Source organism: Homo sapiens, chromosome 1 (genome assembly GCF_000001405.40).
Source record: "Homo sapiens chromosome 1, GRCh38.p14 Primary Assembly".
Taxonomy (NCBI): domain Eukaryota; kingdom Metazoa; phylum Chordata; class Mammalia; order Primates; family Hominidae; genus Homo; species Homo sapiens.
Window position 1 is genome coordinate 237685664 of NC_000001.11, and position 21784 is coordinate 237707447.

Consider the following 21784-nt stretch of genomic DNA (forward strand, 5'->3'; position numbering starts at 1 on the left):
CCTGTCTGAGTTAGCACACACAGCTGTCAGCCATAAAGCTCAGTAGATAAGGGCACGTGGACAAAGTTTCTCCTGTTTTATTGTCTTAAAATTATAGCACAAAGATAAATAAGGCAGGTCAAGGGCCTCATGACTAATCTTATGTCTAGTAGCCACTTGAATAGATCATTGTTTTAAAAATATTTTGTTCTGATAAGAAATTCCCCAAAACCTCAGATTCACTCAGACATTTGTAGATGAACATTTTCTTGGAAAACTACAAAATACCCTACATAATTTTCATCAATACATGAATCCACATTGTTACAGAAGTGAGGGGTGATGGCCAAAACTTACTGTAAAAGAGGTCAACCTCACAAACGTTACCTTCTCTGCTTCCCTCTCTTCCCATCCTGCCACTGATCAGCCAAGCCACTTTCATGGTATTCCATGGCTGGTCTGTATCCCTAGTCCTGGGGAGCTGCACGTTTGATCACAGCTGTTAATGCAGAGTTTTGCAAGAGAACATAGTCAGTGAGGACTTAGCTGTTCTCGTTATTGGGAAAAATCAAGCTGAGTGTGGGTGGTACTATACACATGGATCTTCAAGGTTAGATTTTCTGGGGTGAGTGCTGGCTGGGTAGAGCCTGTGCTCTCTGAGAGCTGAGAAGAGCGTGAGTAGATTTGAAAATAATGTCACTTGTATTGGTAGAGATTTGCAAATGGCCCCTGAGAGCATCTGGGTATGGACCTCTTGCAGCCTGGGTTGGGAGCTGTACAGGAGGGCTGGATGTCAGAACGCTGACCTACTTATTTTATTGAGTTTATTTAGTTTAATGAGTTTATTCTTGGAAGAAACTCATTCTGAGCTGAGTTTTGAGGGACGAGTAGATGGGAGGATAGCATGGAAATGAGTGAAGGGTATTTCTCAAAATAGGGACCTGTGAGGATCCCACCCAGCTGAGGCTTGGTGAAAAGAAAGGACAAACAGCAGGGATCTCCCAGGTTCAAGTGTCTGATCTGAGAGTTAGTGGATACCAGCGTTGTCAGGCTGAATGCTGAATGTGGGCAGCCATTATTTGGAATGGCTCATTGCTAATTGCCATGAAGGACTCAAAGACACAGGAACCTGCTCTGGAGCAGATAAGAAATATACTGAACTTATAGGTATCCAGAGACTTTAAGTTATCACATCTGTAATGCTTTCCTCTGAGTGATTATCAGTTGCTCAAATTCTGTTCCTACTTTACTGTATTCAAATTCACTGGATGCTTACGTTACGTAAGGAGTGTGATCAAGGTTGGGGACGAAGGAGATTTCAAATAATAAAACATATTAAAACTTAAAGTAACATTGTATGCCCGAAGCACCATACGTCTGTTGTAAAATAAAATAATGTCCATATATATATTTTTTAAATCCAGAGTTTCAGTGGTACATTTGGGCAGATAAAACCAAATTTTTTCCTGGTGGTTTTTCAGTAGTTATATCCTTATGGGGTTCATATAGATTGCTTTTATATTAATTAGCTTTGCTTTCAATTTTTTTTGGTTTCTTATAATATGTGCTTTTTTAACCATGTTTGTTAAAGAGATGCACTCAAAGACTCTTTCTTTAATACCTTTACTCCACATTCTGCTCAGAGAATTGATTCTTTCTGCGTGACATCATGTTGCTTTTTTCCGGCTCATATATCAGCTGTTTTTTTTTCTTTTTTCTTCTTCTTTTTTTTTTTTTTTTTTAATTTCCCCCTGTCTTTTCTACCTTCCCTTCCCCCTTCCCTTTTCTCTTTTGTTTTTCTTTTGTCTTCAGCCTATTCTGCAAACTTGGAGTTCTTGTCAGGCATAGGATTTCACTATTTGGTAAGGAGACCCTTGAAAAAATACAAGCATGGCCATCACTTGGTTTTCTTTGCCATTTTTGCACTGTGTTGTGTGCTGCTATGTTGCATGGATGCATGTTTGCATGGCTGCATGCATGGTCGTTGCAGGCCAAGATAAGGTCCTCGAGGTTGTTCATAAATAGCATTATGTATGGTGAAATTGAGGACTCTATCTTTTTTACACTAGTCCAAAGCATAACTGAAAGTAAAAAGACTATTATTAAAGAGCAAATGAATGAAAATGGCAGGCTGTGCCGTATTTTATCTCAGGGGTAAAAACAAAACAAAGCCAGGCCCTTGGATTTGTGTTTGGTTACCTCTGACAGATTAAATAATGAGCTGTTATAAATCAAAATTTTAAACTGCACTTATTTTTTTTAATGCTCTTGACTACAGATTTGCATGTCTTCTGCATTCCAAACATTGGAACGTCATAGTCAAGACACTGAAGCCAAGGAGCTTCGGAGCTTCACTTGGCAAGAGTGGCTTTTCTAGCACCACTCACTCCAGGGTCAGTTTCTGTTTGTTTCTGAGAATTCACCTAGCTGGAGTCCATGTTCCAGAGCACCTGCTTCCGGACAGCCATGCAGGGTGGGCACTCACTTTCCGCAGATTTTCCCTGCCGTGGGGCTTTAGAATCTTTAGTGGCTGGTGGAATTTGTGTTTCACACTTTCCTGCATCCGATTTTATAAACTGCCGAAGAAAATGTGAACCCTTTGCTCTCTAGGTTTTGAGACAGTGTTGGAGTAATTTTAGTAATAAAACATTGAATGTATTGCTAGAGGTATTATAAGTTCAATTCTATTTACAGGACAAGCTAAGGATTAAAAAAATTAAGTCATTTCTACAAAGTCACAGTTAAACTGAGGAACGGGTATATATATATACATATATATATATACACACACACACATATGCACAAATAAGTTCTTCACATTACACTTTTTGAGAAATAATAGTTTCTGGATATAGTAGGTTATTGCTATATTTGGTTTCTAGTATTATATCCAAGATTTGGTGCTCTTAAATTTAGTAATGAAAATTTATATTTCATTAAAATTGCCTGAGTTTTTACATTAATATTTCAGTTATTTAAAATCAATGGGGCAGTTATCTTTAGAATAATTTCTAGTTCACTGACTTTTGTTTAACTTCTCTTCAACAGAGAAATATTTTCATGGGCTTATTCAGGCAGGATTTTCATACACTCTTTAACCTTCTCAGAATAACAGTGGATTCAAATATTCTCCATTTGTCTTCAGCAAGTGCTATCTAATTATACATATCAGCTGCCCTTTTGCGGTCTTATTAATGAGCATAATAATACTTTCTATGGTGCTATTTCTAACTTCCTGCTTATTGTATATCCTTCTTTTCCTGTTATACCTCATATAATTTCCTTTAAAATTTTTTTGAGGTATTCCATACCTGAACTACAAAATCCTAAGAACAACTTGGCTAGGTGTGGTGGCTCATGCCTGTATCCCAGCACTTTGGGATGTCGTGGTGAGAGAATCACTTGAGGACAGGAGTTCAAGACCAGCTGGGGCAACATAGCAAGACCTTGGCTCTACAAAAAATAAAAATAAAAAATTAGCCAGGTGCAGTGGTGCACACCTATAGTCTTAGCTACACAGGACGCTGAGATGGATGGATCACTTGAGCCCAGGAATCTGAGGTAGCAGTGAGCTATGATCACACCACTGTACTCTCATCTAGGAAACAGAGCAAAACCCTGTCTCTAATACAAGCAAATAAAAAGAACAACTTGATGAAAATGTATATGCATATACAACCATTTAATCATAGCTCAAGCCAAGACATAGAACGTTTCCAACATGCCAGGAGCCTCCCCTGTGTCATTTTTCAAATTATAACCATCTCCAGAGGAACTATATGTAGACTCCATTCTATGGATTCTTTTCAGCTGTTCTTGAAATTCCATTTTTGTTGAATATATCATTTAAGTTTGGTTATTGAAGATAAATGTATAATACAGTTTGTCATGCTTGTTAGGGGTGAAAAACTAGACCTTAACATTAGTTCCTTCCCTGTGTGGTCCTAGTATTTCAATTAGACATTGTGGTTTCATCCCTTAGCCTTTTAATACTATTATTTTTATTTTTAAGGGGAATTTATTGGAGACCTGGTATGTTTTCTTTATATCTCAAAGCGCATTTTTGCACATTTTTATATTATTAAAGTGTATGTTATTGTTTCAAATTTGCTTTGATATTTGCCTATAAAATATAAACTTCAACATGGCTTTATTAATCAAACATCTAGTACAGATTTGCCAAATTATTAGAATCTTTAAGTCTTTTTTTTTTTTTTTGAAAGAGTTTCACTCTTGTTGCCCACCAAGCTGGAGTGCAATGGTGAGATCTCATCTCACTGCAACCTCCGCCTCCCAGGTTCAAGCAATTTTCCTGCCTCAGCCTCCCAAGTAGCTGGGATTACAGGCACACGCCACCACACACGGCTAATTTTTAGTAGAAACGGGGTTTCACCATGTTGGCCAGGCTGGTCTCGAACTCCTGACTTCAGGTGATCTGCCCACCTCGGTCTGCCAAAGTGCTGGGATTACAAGTGTGAGCCACCGTGCCTGGCCAAATCTTTTAAGTCTTAAGCATTTAAGCTTCACATATTATGGGTATTGGTATAGTATTTAAATGTCACATATTATGGGCTGTAGATGCTAATATGACATCCTAGAGAGAATAGTGGGTTTGGAATCAGAAAACCTAGTTGTAAGTCCTATTTTTCTAACTTAACAGCTGAATGATTTGGACAAGGGACTTAAATTCTCTGAACCTGCATTTTTTCATTGTTAAAGTGGGCTAAAATACCTAATAAACCTAGAGATCAATTTTTTGTGAAATAATTCATGTTAAAGTGCTATGTAAAGTGTAACCTTATAGTTTTCACATATAAGATGTTTCTAGTCTTATTAAAATTATTAGATTTTATTAACTTATCTAAAGCTTATTATACTTTATTTACATAAATTACATACTAAACTAGTAGACTTAGCCCTTTAAAATACACACACAGGGCCAGGCACAGTGGCTCACGCCTGGAATCCCAGCACTTTGGGAGGCCAAGGCGGACAGATCACTTGAGCTCGGGAGTTCAAGACCAGCCTGGGAAACATGGCGAGACCCCATCTCGACTAAGAATACAAAAAATTAGCCATGTCTGGTGGCATACACCTTTGGTCCCAGCTACTCAGGAGGCTGGGGTGGGAGGATTGCTTGAGCCTGGAGGGCAGAGGTTGCAGTGAGCCAACATTGCACACCACACACACAAAAATACACACAGTAAAGCCTTTATAATACACCCATTTCCAGAATGAATCAGAAGTGTTATAACCCAACTATTTACTTTTTGATTTATCAGCTATGCCAGTGTGGATTTTTCCAAACAGAGAGACCCAGTAGCATATATGCAGTGCTTGTTTGTATATGGTCATATTAATCTATTCTTTTTCAGTCTACTTTTATCATTTTCTTGCATTTTGGCAGGAAATACATTGATTATCAATGGGATTACAAGCGTGAGCCACCACGCCCGGCCAAATCTCTAAGTCTTAAGCATTTAAGCTTCACATATTCCCTGTACTGTCTTGTATTTCCTGTACTATCTTGGTTTAAAGATTTTTTCATGACCTAAACCTAAGAGTAAATTAAGACAGAATTGAAAGTTGAGGTTGACAAGAAAATACTTGAGTTTTGTGATGATCAGAGAAGGTAAGGATGTAGAAAGATACATGTTAACCTTAAATATGTCAGAAAGTGGAGACAGGACAGGAGCATTAAAAAAAAATGAAGAGACAAAATACATGTTCTGGTGGTAGTAATTGTGGTGAGCAGAGTTTGATGGGTAATGGAATATTTATTCTAGGTTGGCTGCCACATTGTAATTATATCTCCAAACCTCGCCTGTGGTTGAAATATTTTTCTGACATATGAAATGAGGATTCTCAAAACTTTGGCTTTTATATTTTTTGTTATCTACTTTAAAATATTTCTTCTGCATTGATGGACACTATACAGGAATTAAGATAATAGTGTTTTTATGCCTAATCTATTATTTTTGAGACATTTAAACCATTTTATGTTATGTTTAAAAAGCTAAGGTTTTTAAAAAGGAAGACAAGCGGTATTACCCATAGAATTCTGATGAATCAATTAGAATAATTTATGGAATGAAAAAGAAAGAAAATAGCTTCTTGTCTAAATATAGGCTTCCCTGTTTGAATTCTGAAATGCTTGCTAGTGATTATAAGTTGGTGCACATAACGAATTTTGGAAATCCAGGTAGGACATAAATAGGACGTAGGCAGGTTGACAAGTGATATCCTTATCATTTGCCATTTTCAAGGACCAGTGTTGACTAAAGAAACAGTGCTTTGATTCCCAGAGTTACCCCTGACTTTTGCTGCCTAGAAATTCTGATTACTATTTTCAAGGCAGTTAGAGGATACATTAGCCCTTCTATTACAGTCTGTTAGAATCTTTCAATCATTTTTAGAGGAAGCAGCATCTGATAACTAAGAGTCCAACAGTAATAATGATGGTGGCACAGGTGGTGCTTATCAGAGTGCCTTAAAGGCTTTCTTTTTACATGTGAAAATAAATCAAATGCCTTGATGATACTCATTTTATGCATTCATTCAATAAACATGTATTGTATGTCTGCCACGTGAAAGGCATTCACTCAAGATGTGAGGATAGGAAAATGAAGATTGATTTCTCTTTCCACTCCGGAACCCAGACCAATATGCAAACATCTTTCGCTTGTACTATTGCAGGAGCATACTGACCATTCTCTCTGAATCCCCTCCTGCTTCTCTCAACTGTGTTCCACGATGATCTTATCAAATCTTCTCAAAACACACTTCTCTGATTACACTCCTGCATATTCAGTGGCTTCCCATGCCTTTAGGGTAGAAAGCACGTTTCTTAACCTAGCCACATTAGTGTTTCACCGTCCATTCCCCATGGGCCACTCCGTCCTCGTGTCCCAGCCCAGTCTCTCCTCCTCCCTATGCTTCTTCAGCTTCCTTGGCCTTCTCTCTGCCTCTTGAATGTGTTAGATTCCTTTCTGCCCAGGGTTTTTGCACATGCTGTAATTATCGCCTGAGTAAAGGACCCTCACACATAATTACTCATCTCCTCAATCCTTCACACTCATAACAAACTATCCATCCTTCAGACTTCAATCCAAATATTACTGTCTCAAGAAAGGCTTCCCTGACCTCCTTGATAATACTCCGTCCTGCTACTATTATAATAGTCTCTGGTGCCGTGTACTTTTCCTCCATGTCACTGATGGTATGCCTACCAGATTAATATCTCTCTTCTCTCGCATAAACTCTCAGCTCTGTGAGGTCTTCCTGTTGCACTCTCAGTGCCTGGCAGGAAGTCTGGCACACAGTAAATATTTTATGAATATATGATGAATGAATGAATGAATGAGCCACCCAGGTCCGGCCTTCAAGAAGCCTATAGTCTAATAGAGAAGGTAGATAAGTACGCAGACACTTACTATGAGACAAGTGCTAAGAACGTGGAAATTTTCTTACATTCACGAATGACACAGCTTTCCTTTGTTTATTTTGCTTAAGAGATTATTAAGAAAAATGTAGTACCTAATTATCCTACAATTGGTGAGAATCATGTTTTTTTTTTTTTTCTCTTATTCCTTAAGAGGTCCATGAAAACACTTAGGCCACTTACAGTGAATAGAAAATAACACATAATTAATGACCCTTAAAATAATAAGATCATGAAACTCAACCAACAATGATCCTTTCAGTTCCAGGAACTATTTGAAAAGGCAGGCATGAAATATTTGTCACTTATAGGCCTTTTCTACTTTCCAGTTTTCTGGTGCCTTTTTAACATCCTAGTGAGACATTGAATGACCTGGACACTCCTCAGAGTTAGTGGAGAATTTGTGAATTAATCACATAGGTACATCTAGGAATACCTGATGTTATTACAAAAAGCCAGCATTTTGTAATACAATGAGCATAATACTGACCTAGAACCCAATGTATAACATCATTAATACAACTCCAATATTAGCTACAGGAGTATTAAACAAGATAAATATTATTATGTGTTTAACATGAAACAGTAGCTGTTGTTAAAATATTCAGTTTTTTTCTAGGTGAGTATGCCTGACTTATACCAGTAGATAAATCTTAATGTTACGTTTGGAAGAGTTTTAAAAGTAGATACTAAATAAAGTAATACAATGGAGCCTATCAACTCTTATTTCTACCTAATCAATAAATTAGTGGATTAAGTTTATGTTGATACTTCTAATATCTCTCCCAAAAAACACTGACGTCTTTAAATGATGATTTCTGTCTTATCTCAGAAGTTATTATATTAGAAAATTAATATGTTTGTGTTATCTCTAACAAGGCTCAGATTGTGCTTGTGTTTGGTAGGACACATATAATAAAAGAAAAATTGGCCGGGTGCGGTGGCTCACGCCTGTAATCCCAGCACTCTGGGAGGCTGAGGCGGGCGGATCACAAGGTCAGGGGATCGAGACCATCCTGGCTAACAAGGTGAAACCCCGTCTCTGCTAAAAATACAAAAAATTAGCCGGGCGTGGTGGCAGGCGCCTGTAGTCCCAGCTACTCGGGAGGCTGAGGCAGGAGAATGGCGTGAACCCAGGAGGTGGAGTTTGCAGTGAGCCGAGATCATGCCAGTGCACTCCAGCCTGGGCGACACGGCGAGACTCCCTCTCAAAAAAAAAAAAAAAAAGAAAAATTACTTAAAGTACTCAGAATCACTGCAGATAGAAGCATATTTGAGGATTCAGTGTGCCATTAAGTTGAGAATGTAATGGTTCAATCATGCGCAATCTGTAACTATTTTCTTATCCTTGTTATTCGTAGCTGGAGGATCATTGAGATCTTTCTCTAATTTAAAAATTCTGTAGTACTATGACAATATGCATGGCAAAAACAACTATTTCCTGGATTTAACTTATTATATATACTGTAAAAAATCCTATTTTTTTAGAGAAGTTCAGAAATATTGGAATTAGATGCCTATAATGAAAGTAATAAAGTATACATAGCATTAGATCAACATAGTATTAGAGCGATACAGATAATTCTTTCAGTTGAACATAGCATTATAGGAGAATTTCCTGGCTTTGAAAAATGAATAGAATATGTAGTTATTCAAAATGTGTCCTCGGTTTGACTGAAACTCCTCACCAAATTAGGGAACCAATAATTTTACTCTGTTCAATATCACAGACTTTAGAAATAACAAAGTCATTGACACTCTGCAATTTCTCTCTATTCCCTCATAATTGTGAGAGAAATTTGTAAGTTCTGGCACAGTGGTATTTCACATTGTTAATAGAATTCTGCCAAGATTAATCATTTCTTCAGAGAAAAGAATACAATATTAGAAAAGTAGAGAAAAATAAAAAGTACAATGACTGCTATCACTGTTTCCAGAAGAGAGAGAAGTCAACATTCTGTGAATTCTCAGCATATCAGATTATAAAACAGAACTGGCATATGATATGTCAAATTTAACATTGAGAATTCCTGAGTTATAGAAACTTTATTTAAAAAAACAATTTGGGATTAATATGCAAAAATTATTTATAGTTATATTATGTAATTTGTTGTTTTTATTATTTAGAGAGTCATATATGAGAGTTGTTATAATTTGTTTAAAACCCAATGTTGTCCCTATTGTTATTAGACCCAGGTGTAAGTTATTATTTTAATTATGTACTTTTTATGTTTACGTACACCTTGATGCACTGATATAAATACACAATCTTAAGGACAAATAGGCAATCTATCATTGTTTCCCTGAGTGCTCAGAGGTGATGAGAGGTGTGTATCTGAGGACAAGGGAAATAGCTGGGTCCTTGAAATACTGTGAGTTGAAAAGTATCAATCTTTTGGTTTTTTCACCACCCAGAGCAATGAATCAATTATGTAAACTTAAGTACATAAAAATCCAGTTGCCACCTGAAAGTTTTATCATCTTACAAAACTCTGCTGGCCCTTCCTGTTCTTCCTGATAACGTGATTGACATTTCTGATTATGGTAATCTGGATAGCTTTAAGAAGGACAATATTTAAGTCATTATTTTATTGAAAAGCCTTACCACATGCTTTACCTCTTCAAGACTCACATTATTTTAGGCTTCTTACACATGCTAATGGGATTGACACTTTTGCCTGGTCTACAAATTAAAATATTGAAGACTCTACTTTTTCTGCCTTCTTAGAGTCCCTTTCCCATTTTTTACATAGAGGTGTTTCTATTTAAAGTTGTGCTGTGTCTAAAAGGGGTCTACCAAGATGTAAAAATGTGTGGAGTTCAGTTTATTCCTTTAGCAATCACAGAAATTTCATATTCCCAATACACAGTTTCAGTCAACCCACAGAATTTGTCTGGCTCCTGGTGCTGTTTCCTACTCTTCTTACATCCCAGAGACAGTCCACAAATATTTTAAGGGCCTGCTGTATGTCAGACACTATTCTAGGTGCAGGGAACAAAGCAAACAAAAATCCCAGCCTGCCAGGCTTATATTAATAGAAGTTTAAAGTATCCCTGGCCACCCCTCATGGAAAAGGGCACAGGAAAACTCAGTACCAAGTACAAACACTGATAATCTATAATAAGAGCAGATTGGAAGGGAAAGGGACAGACAACTGAGTGTTTAGGAAAAATGAAGGACCTGCCTCTCTGATTTGGGGCTGATTAATAGTGGCATAGGACTCATATACGTTGCACTGGATCTCTTCCTCCTCATGGGCCTTCTCTTTCCCATTGTCTATACTGCATCTTTCTTATCTTCTCTGCCTCCAAACACTGGAGGCCCTAGGCCTTTTTTCTTCTTACTTATATTCATGCTGGCTAGTTTCATTGAGACCCACGATGTTTAGAATTAAATGTATGTTTACAATGCCCAAGTGTATAGCTCTGGCTTAGATCTCTTCCCTGCACTGCAGACTTTTTTTTTTTTTTCAATCAATTGCCTATTCTACATCTTTACCCGAATTACTAATAGGCCCATCACACTTAATATGTGCAAAGCAAGGGTCAGGACCCCATCCCCCACCCCCGCCGCATCCCCTTCCTCCCACAGTCTGCTTCTTCTCGTTCTCTTTCTACACCATTCAGTGGTGCCGCCTTTCACCTAATTACTCAGGCAGAAAACCTTAGAGTTATCCTTGACTGCTTTCCCGCTCACCTCACATTCAATCCATAAGTAAATCCTTCAAATATATATTCTCAAGTTCTTCACCACTGATATCCTAATCTGAATTCACCATCATCAGTGAACTGATTCCGTTCCTGCAGTAGGTCCCTAATTATCTTCCACTTTTGCTCTTCCAGAATTTCCCACATAGGGAATTAATTCTTTGAAAATATAAATCGTATCATATCCCATCCTGCTCAAAACCTAAGAATGTCTTCCTACCGCACTGAAAATCCAAGGGCTTGCTCTAACCAAGCTCTAGAACCTGACCTCTCCCAACCTCTCCAACTCATACTCTGCTTCTTTCCTCTTGCTCTGACTCCCTTAGCCACTTGACCCTCTTTGCTTGGAACACCAGGTTCATTTTTTGCCTCAGAGCCTTTGCATGGGCTCTTCCCTGTACCTGGATCTCCTTCTCAGATACATGGATGGTTTATTTCTTCATGTCATTCCAACCTCTGCTCAAATGCCGCCTCCAGGAAGGACTCATGAGCACTATCCCTGTTATTCTACCCAGTTTCTGTAGGTGTGTGTGTGTGTGTATATATATATAGTATATATATATAATATATATTTATATAATATATAATTGCATATTATATATTATGTTATATATTATATAATTATATCATATATAATTATATAATATATATTTATGTAAATATATATTATATGATATATAATATATTTATAGAAATATATATTATATAATATAATTATATATAATCTTTTTGTATATAACAAATATTTTTTATATATATTTAACTGTGGCCTGCTATTATGTTATATGCTGATATTTTGCTAAATGATTTTTTTTTTTTTTGCTTACTGATTCGTTATCTATATCCCCCTTTAAAATGCAAGTACCATAAGGACTATTTTGTTCATTACTGGAAATTTGAGAGTGCCTGGTTTTAATCTTTCTTTGTTAAGTGAATTAATCATCAAATGAATACTTCTAAGAGTTCCAGGAGAAGCCCCAGAGCTGGCATCTGCCAATGGACAGGAAAATAAAAAATCCTACCATTCTGCTCATTTTGTCTTCATTATTACCAGGAATTCTGAGACTTGAAGCACAAGATGAGGGAATATTTTCATGAATAACTCAGAATCTCAGTAATAAATACCTTATTTTTTCTTATTTGTATCATATCACTAAACTGGCTTGCCCATGTTCTAATACAATTATTAATTTCAGTGTGTACTTAGGTCATTCATTTTAGGTTACTTTTTGTATAAAGAATATAACATATACCAGTATTACAAAAACTTACATTCAGATAATAGTTGTCAATCTCAGGACCCAGGAGATGATAGTGTGTGTGTGTGTGTGTGTGTGTGTGTGTGTGTGTGTGTGTGTGTAATGAGGAACTGATCATGTCAAACTATATTGTAAGTGGTCAAATTATTTTGTTACCTTGAATTCATCATTTTATTTGCTTTCTGTATCCCCATTACGAAGAAAAATATATGTAATGCTTTTATCACTCATATTTCTGTACTTCCTTGTAAAATATGCCAATCAAAATGAGTGAATTTTATATTACTTTCAAGAGGAGTTACTACCATCTGAAAATCTCAGAGGAGTATTATTTAACTTCTTTAGTGTCTGATTTTTTTTTTACATGACGTTTTGGTGCTTTTTGGTTTTTGCCAAAGACCAATAACATTCAAGGAAATTAATTTACCTTCATGCAATGGAATTCAGGCAAATTAATTCATCTTAATGCAGTGGGATGAAATAAGAAAGCAGAATTTTTGGTGCAATTAGAATGGAATGAAAATTTTTAAACTTTAAGCCCACCTTATTTCATAAAGGATATGAGCTGACTTTAAAAGTTTGTAAACAATAAGATTTAAAAATACAGTGAGATGGGAGGGAGAGGGGATTATTGAAAACCTCGGTTAAAACTCTTTTAGTCTGGTGCAGTGCTTTTGAATGCTTCTTGGGCATGTCAGCTATTTGATGAGACATGCTTTATTGCTTTTCTACTTACATTTGCATAACCACTTTTAAGCAGAAAAACTGCATGATTTCAAACTTGATTATTAAAAAACCTTTTAAAATATTACTGTTGTGTCATTGACTAATTTTTCTAGCACAAATATTGGTAGAAAAGAAGAACATTGAGAAATTCTCAGGGCAATTTATACAGCATTTTGTTTCCTCTTTAGGCAATGATGCAACATCAATTGTCAACTGTCTTCATATTTTGGGTCAGACTTTGGATGCAAGGTAAATGGATACATTTTTACCTAAATAAATTACTATAATAATGATACATGTATATATATAAGAATATTAAGAAGGACCCAGTGTCTGGATTTTATTCTTTGGATTTGTAATAAAGTCTTTAGTGTAGGTGAAAAGAAAAACTTTTTAAAATTAATACAGTGGCAGCTTATGTCTATGATCATATATAGATTATTATTTAATGTCAGGTAATTTCTGTAGCAGCTAGGACCATAAAGGAGGGTTGAACTGGTAATGTATCACGCAGGAAAAATGGTAATCTGACAACTCTAGAGATCTTGTTAGCTTCCAGGCGTGATATTTGTGCTTAACATTCATAATAACATTTGGCTTTTTAGGAAACAGAGTTTTATTCTCATTTTACAGATGAATAAAGTGATGTTTAAGATTGCATACTAAGTGTGTAGGTAGACGAATTCCCATCTGTGTGCTTTCTACTCTGCCCTGTCAACTTGACCAGAAATCTAGCATGTTGACCAAATACAAAATCAGTTCATTTAGCATGATTGATTCAGCCATACATTTAGTTTATATCTAGGATAAATCTAAATAAAAGTTTATAAATGTCTCCTAAAGAGAATATTCCACAATACTCTTTGATTATCCATTCTTGCGTTTAAGATTTCATTTAAGGTCTTTTGTATGATAAATGCAGAAAGGAGACACCATTACAGACCTTCACTTCCTACTACAAATAGTGGCATTAAGGTATGAAGTTCAGCCTTCGGCGGCTTCATTAGAAAAGACTTGATTGCTACACCTTAAAACACAAACATTCTGTATCATTTGTTGAGTTGGTTTAGCTGGCATGAAATTTTTTTTGCTACTCATTGCCTCAGGAAACATTCTAGTTTTGTTGGATTTCGGATTAACTATACTCACTCAGAAGCTGTGTTTTGTTAGTTAAATTGGAGACCGTTAGTGATAAGCATACAGCATTAGCACAGACTTTTGCAGCAAGGTTTTAATAAGTTGACTATGAAGGCATTTGGAAAAGATAATTTACAGAGCAGTATTGCTGTAACTTCAAGTATATTGAAAAAATTTGTTTTAGAGTTGATTTTAAAAGTTGGTTACCAGGTGAGTAGAGTAATGGAGAAATAAACATCATAAGAGAACCACAATTCATTTATATTTCATTTGTTCCTGTTGGAAGATACGAGTCCTCCCTTATTTACTTTCTAGGACAGTGATGAAGACTGGCCTGGAGAGTGTTAAAAGTGCACTCAGAGCTTTTCTGGACAACGCTGCAGAGGATCTGGAGAAGACCATGGAAAACCTCAAGCAGGGCCAGTTCACTCACACCCGAAACCAGCCCAAAGGGGTTACTCAGATTATCAATTACACCACAGTGGCCCTGCTGCCAATGCTGTCTTCATTATTTGAACATATTGGCCAGCATCAGTTCGGAGAAGACCTAATATGTATGTAAATTTATATCTTGGAGTTTTTTTTTTTTTAATCGAAATACCCTGTAGTACAATCAAAAACAGTAATAGCCACATCTGGGTTACTAAAACACTGTTTACATGTTAAAATGCCTTTTTTATTGCAAAACGTTATAGGTTGACATTTGTGTGATAGACACCATTCTTACAGAAATAGATCTCTGAATTACATGGACCCACAGAGAGGACCAGTAAGGTACTGGTTATAGAAAATGACTTCCACATTGTTGAAGTTTCCAAATGATCACTATTTCTACATTGCCTCTTTTCACATAAACGTTTTAATGCAGTTGAACCATATAACATGCAACAGTAAATGTTTTCAAATTATTTCTGAGTCAATGTAGATTGTTTCTCCAAGCTTGACAATGTAATAATGTGAAGACGACTGAGACAAAGTCTGTGTCTAAATAATTGGCCTTTTAGAGTGGCTCAAATATCCTCTGTTTAGAGGTTTCTGACAGTTTTTAGGGAAGCTTTAATCTTCTGTTTTGGGCTGGCATTCAGTAGTTAATAAAACTATACACAGAATGCCCAAGATTACGTGGAAAAAATACGCATGAGCTGTTTGAACTCCCCACTGCCCTGCTCAGGACATGAGCCTTTGTTGAGCAGAATCACCAACTCAGACTCGTGCATTGTCCATTCCTCAGGTGATGGGCACCTCTGTGCAAAAACTGCTGAGTTACTCAGTGGGTGCCACAACTACCAGTGGCAGAACGTTTATTTTAAATTTTGTTTTAAGAAAGCATGCTTAGTCCGGGTGCAGTGGCGCATGCCTGTAATCCCAGTACTTTGGGAGGCTGAGGTGGGTGGTTCAGCTGAAGTCAGGAGTTCGAGACCAGCCTGGCCAGTATGGTGAAACCCCGTCTCTACTAAAAATACAAAAATTAGCTGGGCATGATGGTGCACACCTGTAATCCCAGCTACTCGGGAGGCTGAGACAAGATAATCACTTGAACCTATGTGGTGGAGGTTGCAGTGAGCCAGTATTGCCACTGCACTCCAGCCTGGGTGACAGAGCAAGACTCTATCTCAAAAAAAAAAAGCAGATGTGCCTTTTGTTTAGTTATTTTTATTTGTATAAATTTACGGGTTTCAAGTACAGTTGTCTGGGCTTTTAGGGCATCCATCACCCAAATAATGAACATTGTGCCCATTAAGTAATTTCTCGTCATCCACCCCCTCCTGCCCCCTCACCCTTCTGAGTCTTGTCTATTATTCTCCTCTCTATGTCCATGTGTACACATGGTTTAGTACCCACTTATAAGTGAGGACATGTGATATTTGACTTTATGTGCCTGGCTTGTTTCACTGAAGATAACAACCCCCAGTTCCATCCATGTTGCTGCAAAAGACATGATTTCATTCTTTTTATGGATGAATAGTATATAGCCTAAACTGAATAGTACATAGCTTAAGCTTTCTCAGGACAATGTATAAATAAGTGGGTTTTTCTTTCAAGTGAGATTCTCTTTTTCCTTAGTGGAAGATGTCCAGGTGTCTTGTTATAGAATTCTGACTAGCTTATATGCTTTGGGAACCAGCAAGAGTATTTACGTGGAGAGGTAAGAATGTTTAAAGTTTAACTTTGTATTAATTGCTGCTTCAAGTTTTATAACTATTTATTTCAAGAATCTTCATTTCATAACCTGTTTCCTAGTTATAAACTAAACCGGATTGACCTTTGAAATTCCTTGGAAGTAATTAGACAATCTTTAAACAAAATAAGAATTGATATAATAAAGGACAATGGAGTTATGCAAAGAAAGTAAAGCACTAATGGTAAAGACTACACTTAATATGAAGTTTCAGCTGAGTGTTTGAGTCTTATGAAAGCACCTGCTAGTATCGTTTCTCATTATATATCAGAAATTCAAAGTAAACATGAATATGAGCAGTTATTAAACCTAGTTTTATTTTCTCATGTTCTCAAGTTTCAGGATGGAGTGGTTTGCAGTGTTAAATGATGTGAATAGGTAACATAAGAAAAGGTATCCCCAGTAAATTTAAAATAAAGAGATCACTGGCAACTTTAGTAAGAAATTTCTGTGAACCAGAGAAGAAAAACAGGGAAGTTTTTTTAAAAGGTCAGAATAAATAAAAACATATTCTGATAGAAGATTTAATTATGAATAGATATAAGTTCTCCCAAAATTAACCTGTAATTACAGTACAATTTCAGTACAGCAAATTACAGAAATTTGCTTTTTCCAACTTCACAAAATCATTCAAAAGTTTATTTCAAAGAATAAACCCATGAGACTAGCCAACGGAATTTGCAGGGGAATAAAAGAGTAATGAACAGGTACTCATTTGGCCTACCAAATATTAAAACCTATAAAGCTACAGTAGTTAAAATAGGATGACAGTTGTACATAAAAATAGCAAATTAGATCAATGGAAAAACATAATTGGGTTTACTCTGAACATTTTACATTTCTTACCTTCATTTTAAGTAAACTCAATTTTCATATTATTTTTATGGTTATGACCTATATTAAGGAAGTATAATAATTTATTGATATGTGACTTTATTTTTGACATGTTGGCTGTTTTCTGTTTTTCACTAATATATATAATGCCAGATCTATGTTCATAGATTCCATTGTATTTTTATGCTTATTTCCCTTAGCTGTATTCTTAGAATTTGGAATTATAGGTCAAAGGGTATGCCTGTATTACAGGATTACGGTACTCATTTCACTGTTTTCAGAAAATCCTTTCCATTTACATTCTCAAATTTTAGAAGTGAATGCTAATTTCCTCATTTGTTCCTTACTCAGATTATCTTTTTTTTCTTTTTAGTGCTTGTGTATGTGATAGTGAAAATATAGGATCCCTATTTATATTTTCAAATGCACTTTCCTGATTACCATCTACTTGCTATTTTTTTCATGTTTACCTTGTCATTTGTGTTTCTTTACTTTATGAATTGCCTTTTCTCATCTTGCATCTATTTTTCTATTCATGTATTGTCATGCTGATTTGTAATAATGCTTTTGTTCATTAAAATGATTAACCTCTTGCCTATTTCTCCTGTTTTTGTGAGTTTTACCATTTTTTACCTTTATATATATATAGTGCTTATATATAAAATATATACATAAAACATATATATATATATAAAATATATAAAAATTATATACAGATAGCATTTTATGACATGGTAATGTTGAATTTTTATATAATCAAATTTTATATAATTTTGACATAATCAATCAATTATTTCATGTATGTTTCTTCCCCTTAGTTTTATTATTCTGATAAGTTTAGACTACACATTTAGCAGTTAGAATTTCAAACATTTATCCTCCTAGACTTTTCATGCTTCCAGTTCTTTATATTTAACTTTATAATCCTATTGTTTGTATCCTAAATATTTGTTAAATGCCAGATACTAGGATACAGAAATAAACAAGATACTTCTCTACTCTCATAGGTTTTATATCTGGTAGAGGAAACCAAACCAAAACAAACAAGCAAACTGATAAATATTATAGTGGCAAGGTATAGTTTGTCCTATGAATAATCACACAATTTGGAGAACAAGGTAGTCGAGAATGTGTCTTTTAGAAGGCGACTTTTGAAGCTTATAACTTTTCTCTATGCAACAGAAAACAGGTAGAAGCTATATGAGGTAGGTCTGTGTCTAGTAGCTTCTGTTTTCTCAATGAAGAATGCCTTGAGTCCTAAGCCAGATGAAGGCTGAGAAAAGAAGTGTGGAAAGCTCAAGGAAAGTAGAGAATGTCTAGAATGATCATCTCTGAGATAAGAAGGGAATTTACTAGAAATATATCTGAACTTTATTTCTCTTGGGTATTATGTAGGATTCAAATTAAATTTTTAAAATCATCAACCATTTGTAAAGTAATCATTTATTAACTATTTATTTTATTCCCTGATTTAAAATAAAACCATCATGTAAAGTAATGTATTTACTAGATTACATTTAGAATTTCTATTCTGTTCTATTATTTGATTTTTTATGACTAAATCAATATCATATAGCCTGAATTGTTAGTATTTTTAAAAATATTTTAATATCTGGTTTTTCAAACCCTCTAATTCCTTCTTATTGCTGTAGCTTTTGTTTTTGTCATTGTTGTTTTTGCCTATATATTTATCTGGACAAAATTCGAGGTCACTTTTTTAGGTTCTAAATAATGTTTTGGTTTTTGGTGGCTTGTTTTTTAAGTCTTTTTTGTGCAATTAATTTTGCGGTTATAAAGTGATTGGGGAAACAAAAAAAAATTCAAAGGTAAGGAAAAGACATTTTGAAAAAAATAGATATTTACAAAAAGTTACAGTGGAACTTTTTCTAAAATATCTACAAATATAGATATTTTAACATAAGTCATCCAAAAGAAAAATTGATATTTCCAGAATGCCAACACAAATTATCAGAATCAGTCTGAGAATCACTAATTGAAACAGAATTTTAAAGTGAATTAATGAAATAAAAGGACTAGTCCAATCAGATATGAGGAAATAAGTTGACAGATAATTTTTTGCTAACAGATAATTTAGCTTTTTTTCAAATGGTGAGGATATTGCTATTGAAAGCATATGATGTTTAGCAATACAGAAATTGGATTTGGGAGTTAATTTTATTAGGACCAATATTATCATTCCTTTTAGGTTAAATTTGCTAATTGTAATATGACTTTTTTAGTTACTCACTTGGAAGACCTTAAAACATAAGCATTTTCCACTTATAGGCAACGTTCTGCATTAGGAGAATGTCTAGCTGCCTTTGCTGGTGCTTTTCCTGTAGCATTTTTGGAAACTCATCTGGACAAACATAATATTTACTCCATCTACAATACCAAGTCTTCACGAGAAAGAGCAGGTAACACAGAAACATGTGCAGTGCTTTGAGATATGAAGCTAAAACTTGATATTTATCATATTGTCCAATAGTGATTTTTAATGAGCTCTTTCAGTTTACTATATCCAATCTTGTTTGTTCTTAAATGTTATTGTTTGGTATTCTATGTGATGTACCCTGTGATAGATGAGGGAGATATGATACATATAGGGCAGCAATCAGAATATGTGGTAATTCAAGAGCAAGGTGACTGAGCAGGCCCCTTGGACAGCGTGTATGTGTGTTGATTGTGAGAGCTCCTAGAGGTAGAGTCATCTTGTGTGGCAGATGAGGGAGTATCGCAGCCTAGACGTAATCCCAGGTTTCTCTTCTGGGTGACTGACTGGATAATGTCCCCACCAAGTTAGGGCATGCTCAAGATAGGCTGGAGAGAAAAAGAGAAGTTTAAATTTAGATCCATCGTGTTTTAGTTGTGCTTGAGACATCCAGGATGAGTCAGAACAGTTTTTAAGAAACATGGCTTTACAGATATTAGCTTATAGCAGAAAGAATGGCCAAAATTGTCTAGATGAACATGCAAACCAAAAAAGAGAAGAGAATCAAAGATAGATTCCTAAAGATAATCAGCATTTGAAAGTTCAGCAAGGGCTGGGCGCAGTGGCTCATGCCTGTAATCCCAGCACTTTGGGAGGCCGAAGTGGGTAGATCACGAGGTCAGGAGTTCAAGACCAGCCTGACCAACATAGTGAAACCCCGTCTGTGCTAAAAATACAAAAATTAGCCGGGCGTGGTGGTGTGTGCCTGTAATCCTGGCTACTCAGGAGGCTGAGGCATGAGAATCGCTTGAACTGGGGAGGCAGAGTTTGCAGTGAGCCAAGACTGCGCCACTGCACTCCAGCCTGGCAACAGAGCAAGACTCTGTCTCAGCAGCAACAACAAAAAAAGTTCAGCAAGGAGAAGAGAGTCAGTAAGGACACTGACAACATTCAGAGGGAGCCAAAAAGGCTGGGCACATTGATGTTAAGAAAGAAGGGAGTTTTAGGAAAAGGGAATTTGGTCCTGGGTATGAAATGCCACTGAACGGTTGGAAAGATGAGTTGTAAAAGTGCAATTTTGCTGCACAGTGAAAAGCAGCTTTGTTCCTGAGGACGGAGAGTGCCTGGATAGCTAAGTAATCCAGGAAAGATTTGAGTATCTTGCTGGGTAGGAGGTATTACAGGGCTGAAAATACAGGTCTGAGCAAGGCATCAGGTATTTGGTGGAGCCGTGAGTGGGGGACTTCAAAACTTCCTCGAAAACGGGGAATGGAGGCCAAGGTGGAGCCAGTCATAAATGGCTTGTAGGTCATGAGAGCAGCAAAGTTAGAGGAGGAAATATTTGATACTATTGTTTGCTGTAAAGTAGGAGGAATGGCTGTTTTCTGGGAGTGATGGTACAGTAGGAACTTAGGGGAAAGAGAGAAGCTTTGAAATAGCTACCTTGAAACACAGGAGAAGGAGCCAGTTGCAGGCATGCCACGTCTTGCTAAATTTTGAAGTCCAAAATGAAATAGTTGCCTGTGGAAATCCGCCATATCATCTCAGTACTTTCTTTGAATATCATCCATTTTTATATGTACTTCTCCAGCTCTCAGTTTGCCAACTAATGTGGAAGATGTTTGTCCAAACATACCGTCTTTGGAGAAACTCATGGAAGAAATCGTGGAATTAGCCGAGTCCGGCATTCGCTACACTCAAATGCCACATGTCATGGAAGTCATACTGCCCATGCTTTGCAGCTACATGTCTCGTTGGTGGGAGCATGGACCTGAGAACAATCCAGAACGGGCCGAGATGTGCTGCACAGCCCTGAACTCAGAGCACATGAACACACTTCTAGGGAACATATTGAAAATCATATATAATAACTTGGGGATTGATGAGGGAGCCTGGATGAAGAGGCTAGCAGGTAAGAACTGGAAGAAGACATTGTACCCCTGAAATCTGTTTTATTTCCAAAAGAATTTTAAATACATAAACTAGAATTTTCCCATCACAATTTTTATTAATATTTTCTTTACTCAAAAATATTAGTATTTGTCATGCTATTTTTTAATGTAGATAAAAACAGGCATTGGGTATATGTT

The 21784-nt window shown here is 36.1% G+C and overlaps 1 protein-coding gene across 17 annotated transcripts in view; it reads left to right on the top strand.

The window, feature by feature from the left end:
- The window catches only part of RYR2 (ryanodine receptor 2), a 791805-nt gene that overhangs the window by 643480 nt on the left and 126541 nt on the right, over window positions 1-21784 (top strand). For 10 of the 17 annotated variants that reach the window (XM_006711802.4, XM_006711804.4, XM_006711806.4 and 7 more), the window contains 6 exons: window positions 1792-1841; window positions 13302-13362; window positions 14566-14804; window positions 16315-16396; window positions 19550-19680; window positions 21286-21606. In XM_006711802.4, the coding sequence (XP_006711865.1) occupies window positions 1792-1841; window positions 13302-13362; window positions 14566-14804; window positions 16315-16396; window positions 19550-19680; window positions 21286-21606 (884 nt within the window). Of the gene's footprint in view, window positions 1-1791; window positions 1842-13301; window positions 13363-14565; window positions 14805-16314; window positions 16397-19549; window positions 19681-21285; window positions 21607-21784 lie in introns of those variants that run through there. The other 7 variants (XM_006711808.4, XM_047427333.1, XM_047427336.1 and 4 more) reach the window with 2 other exon arrangements.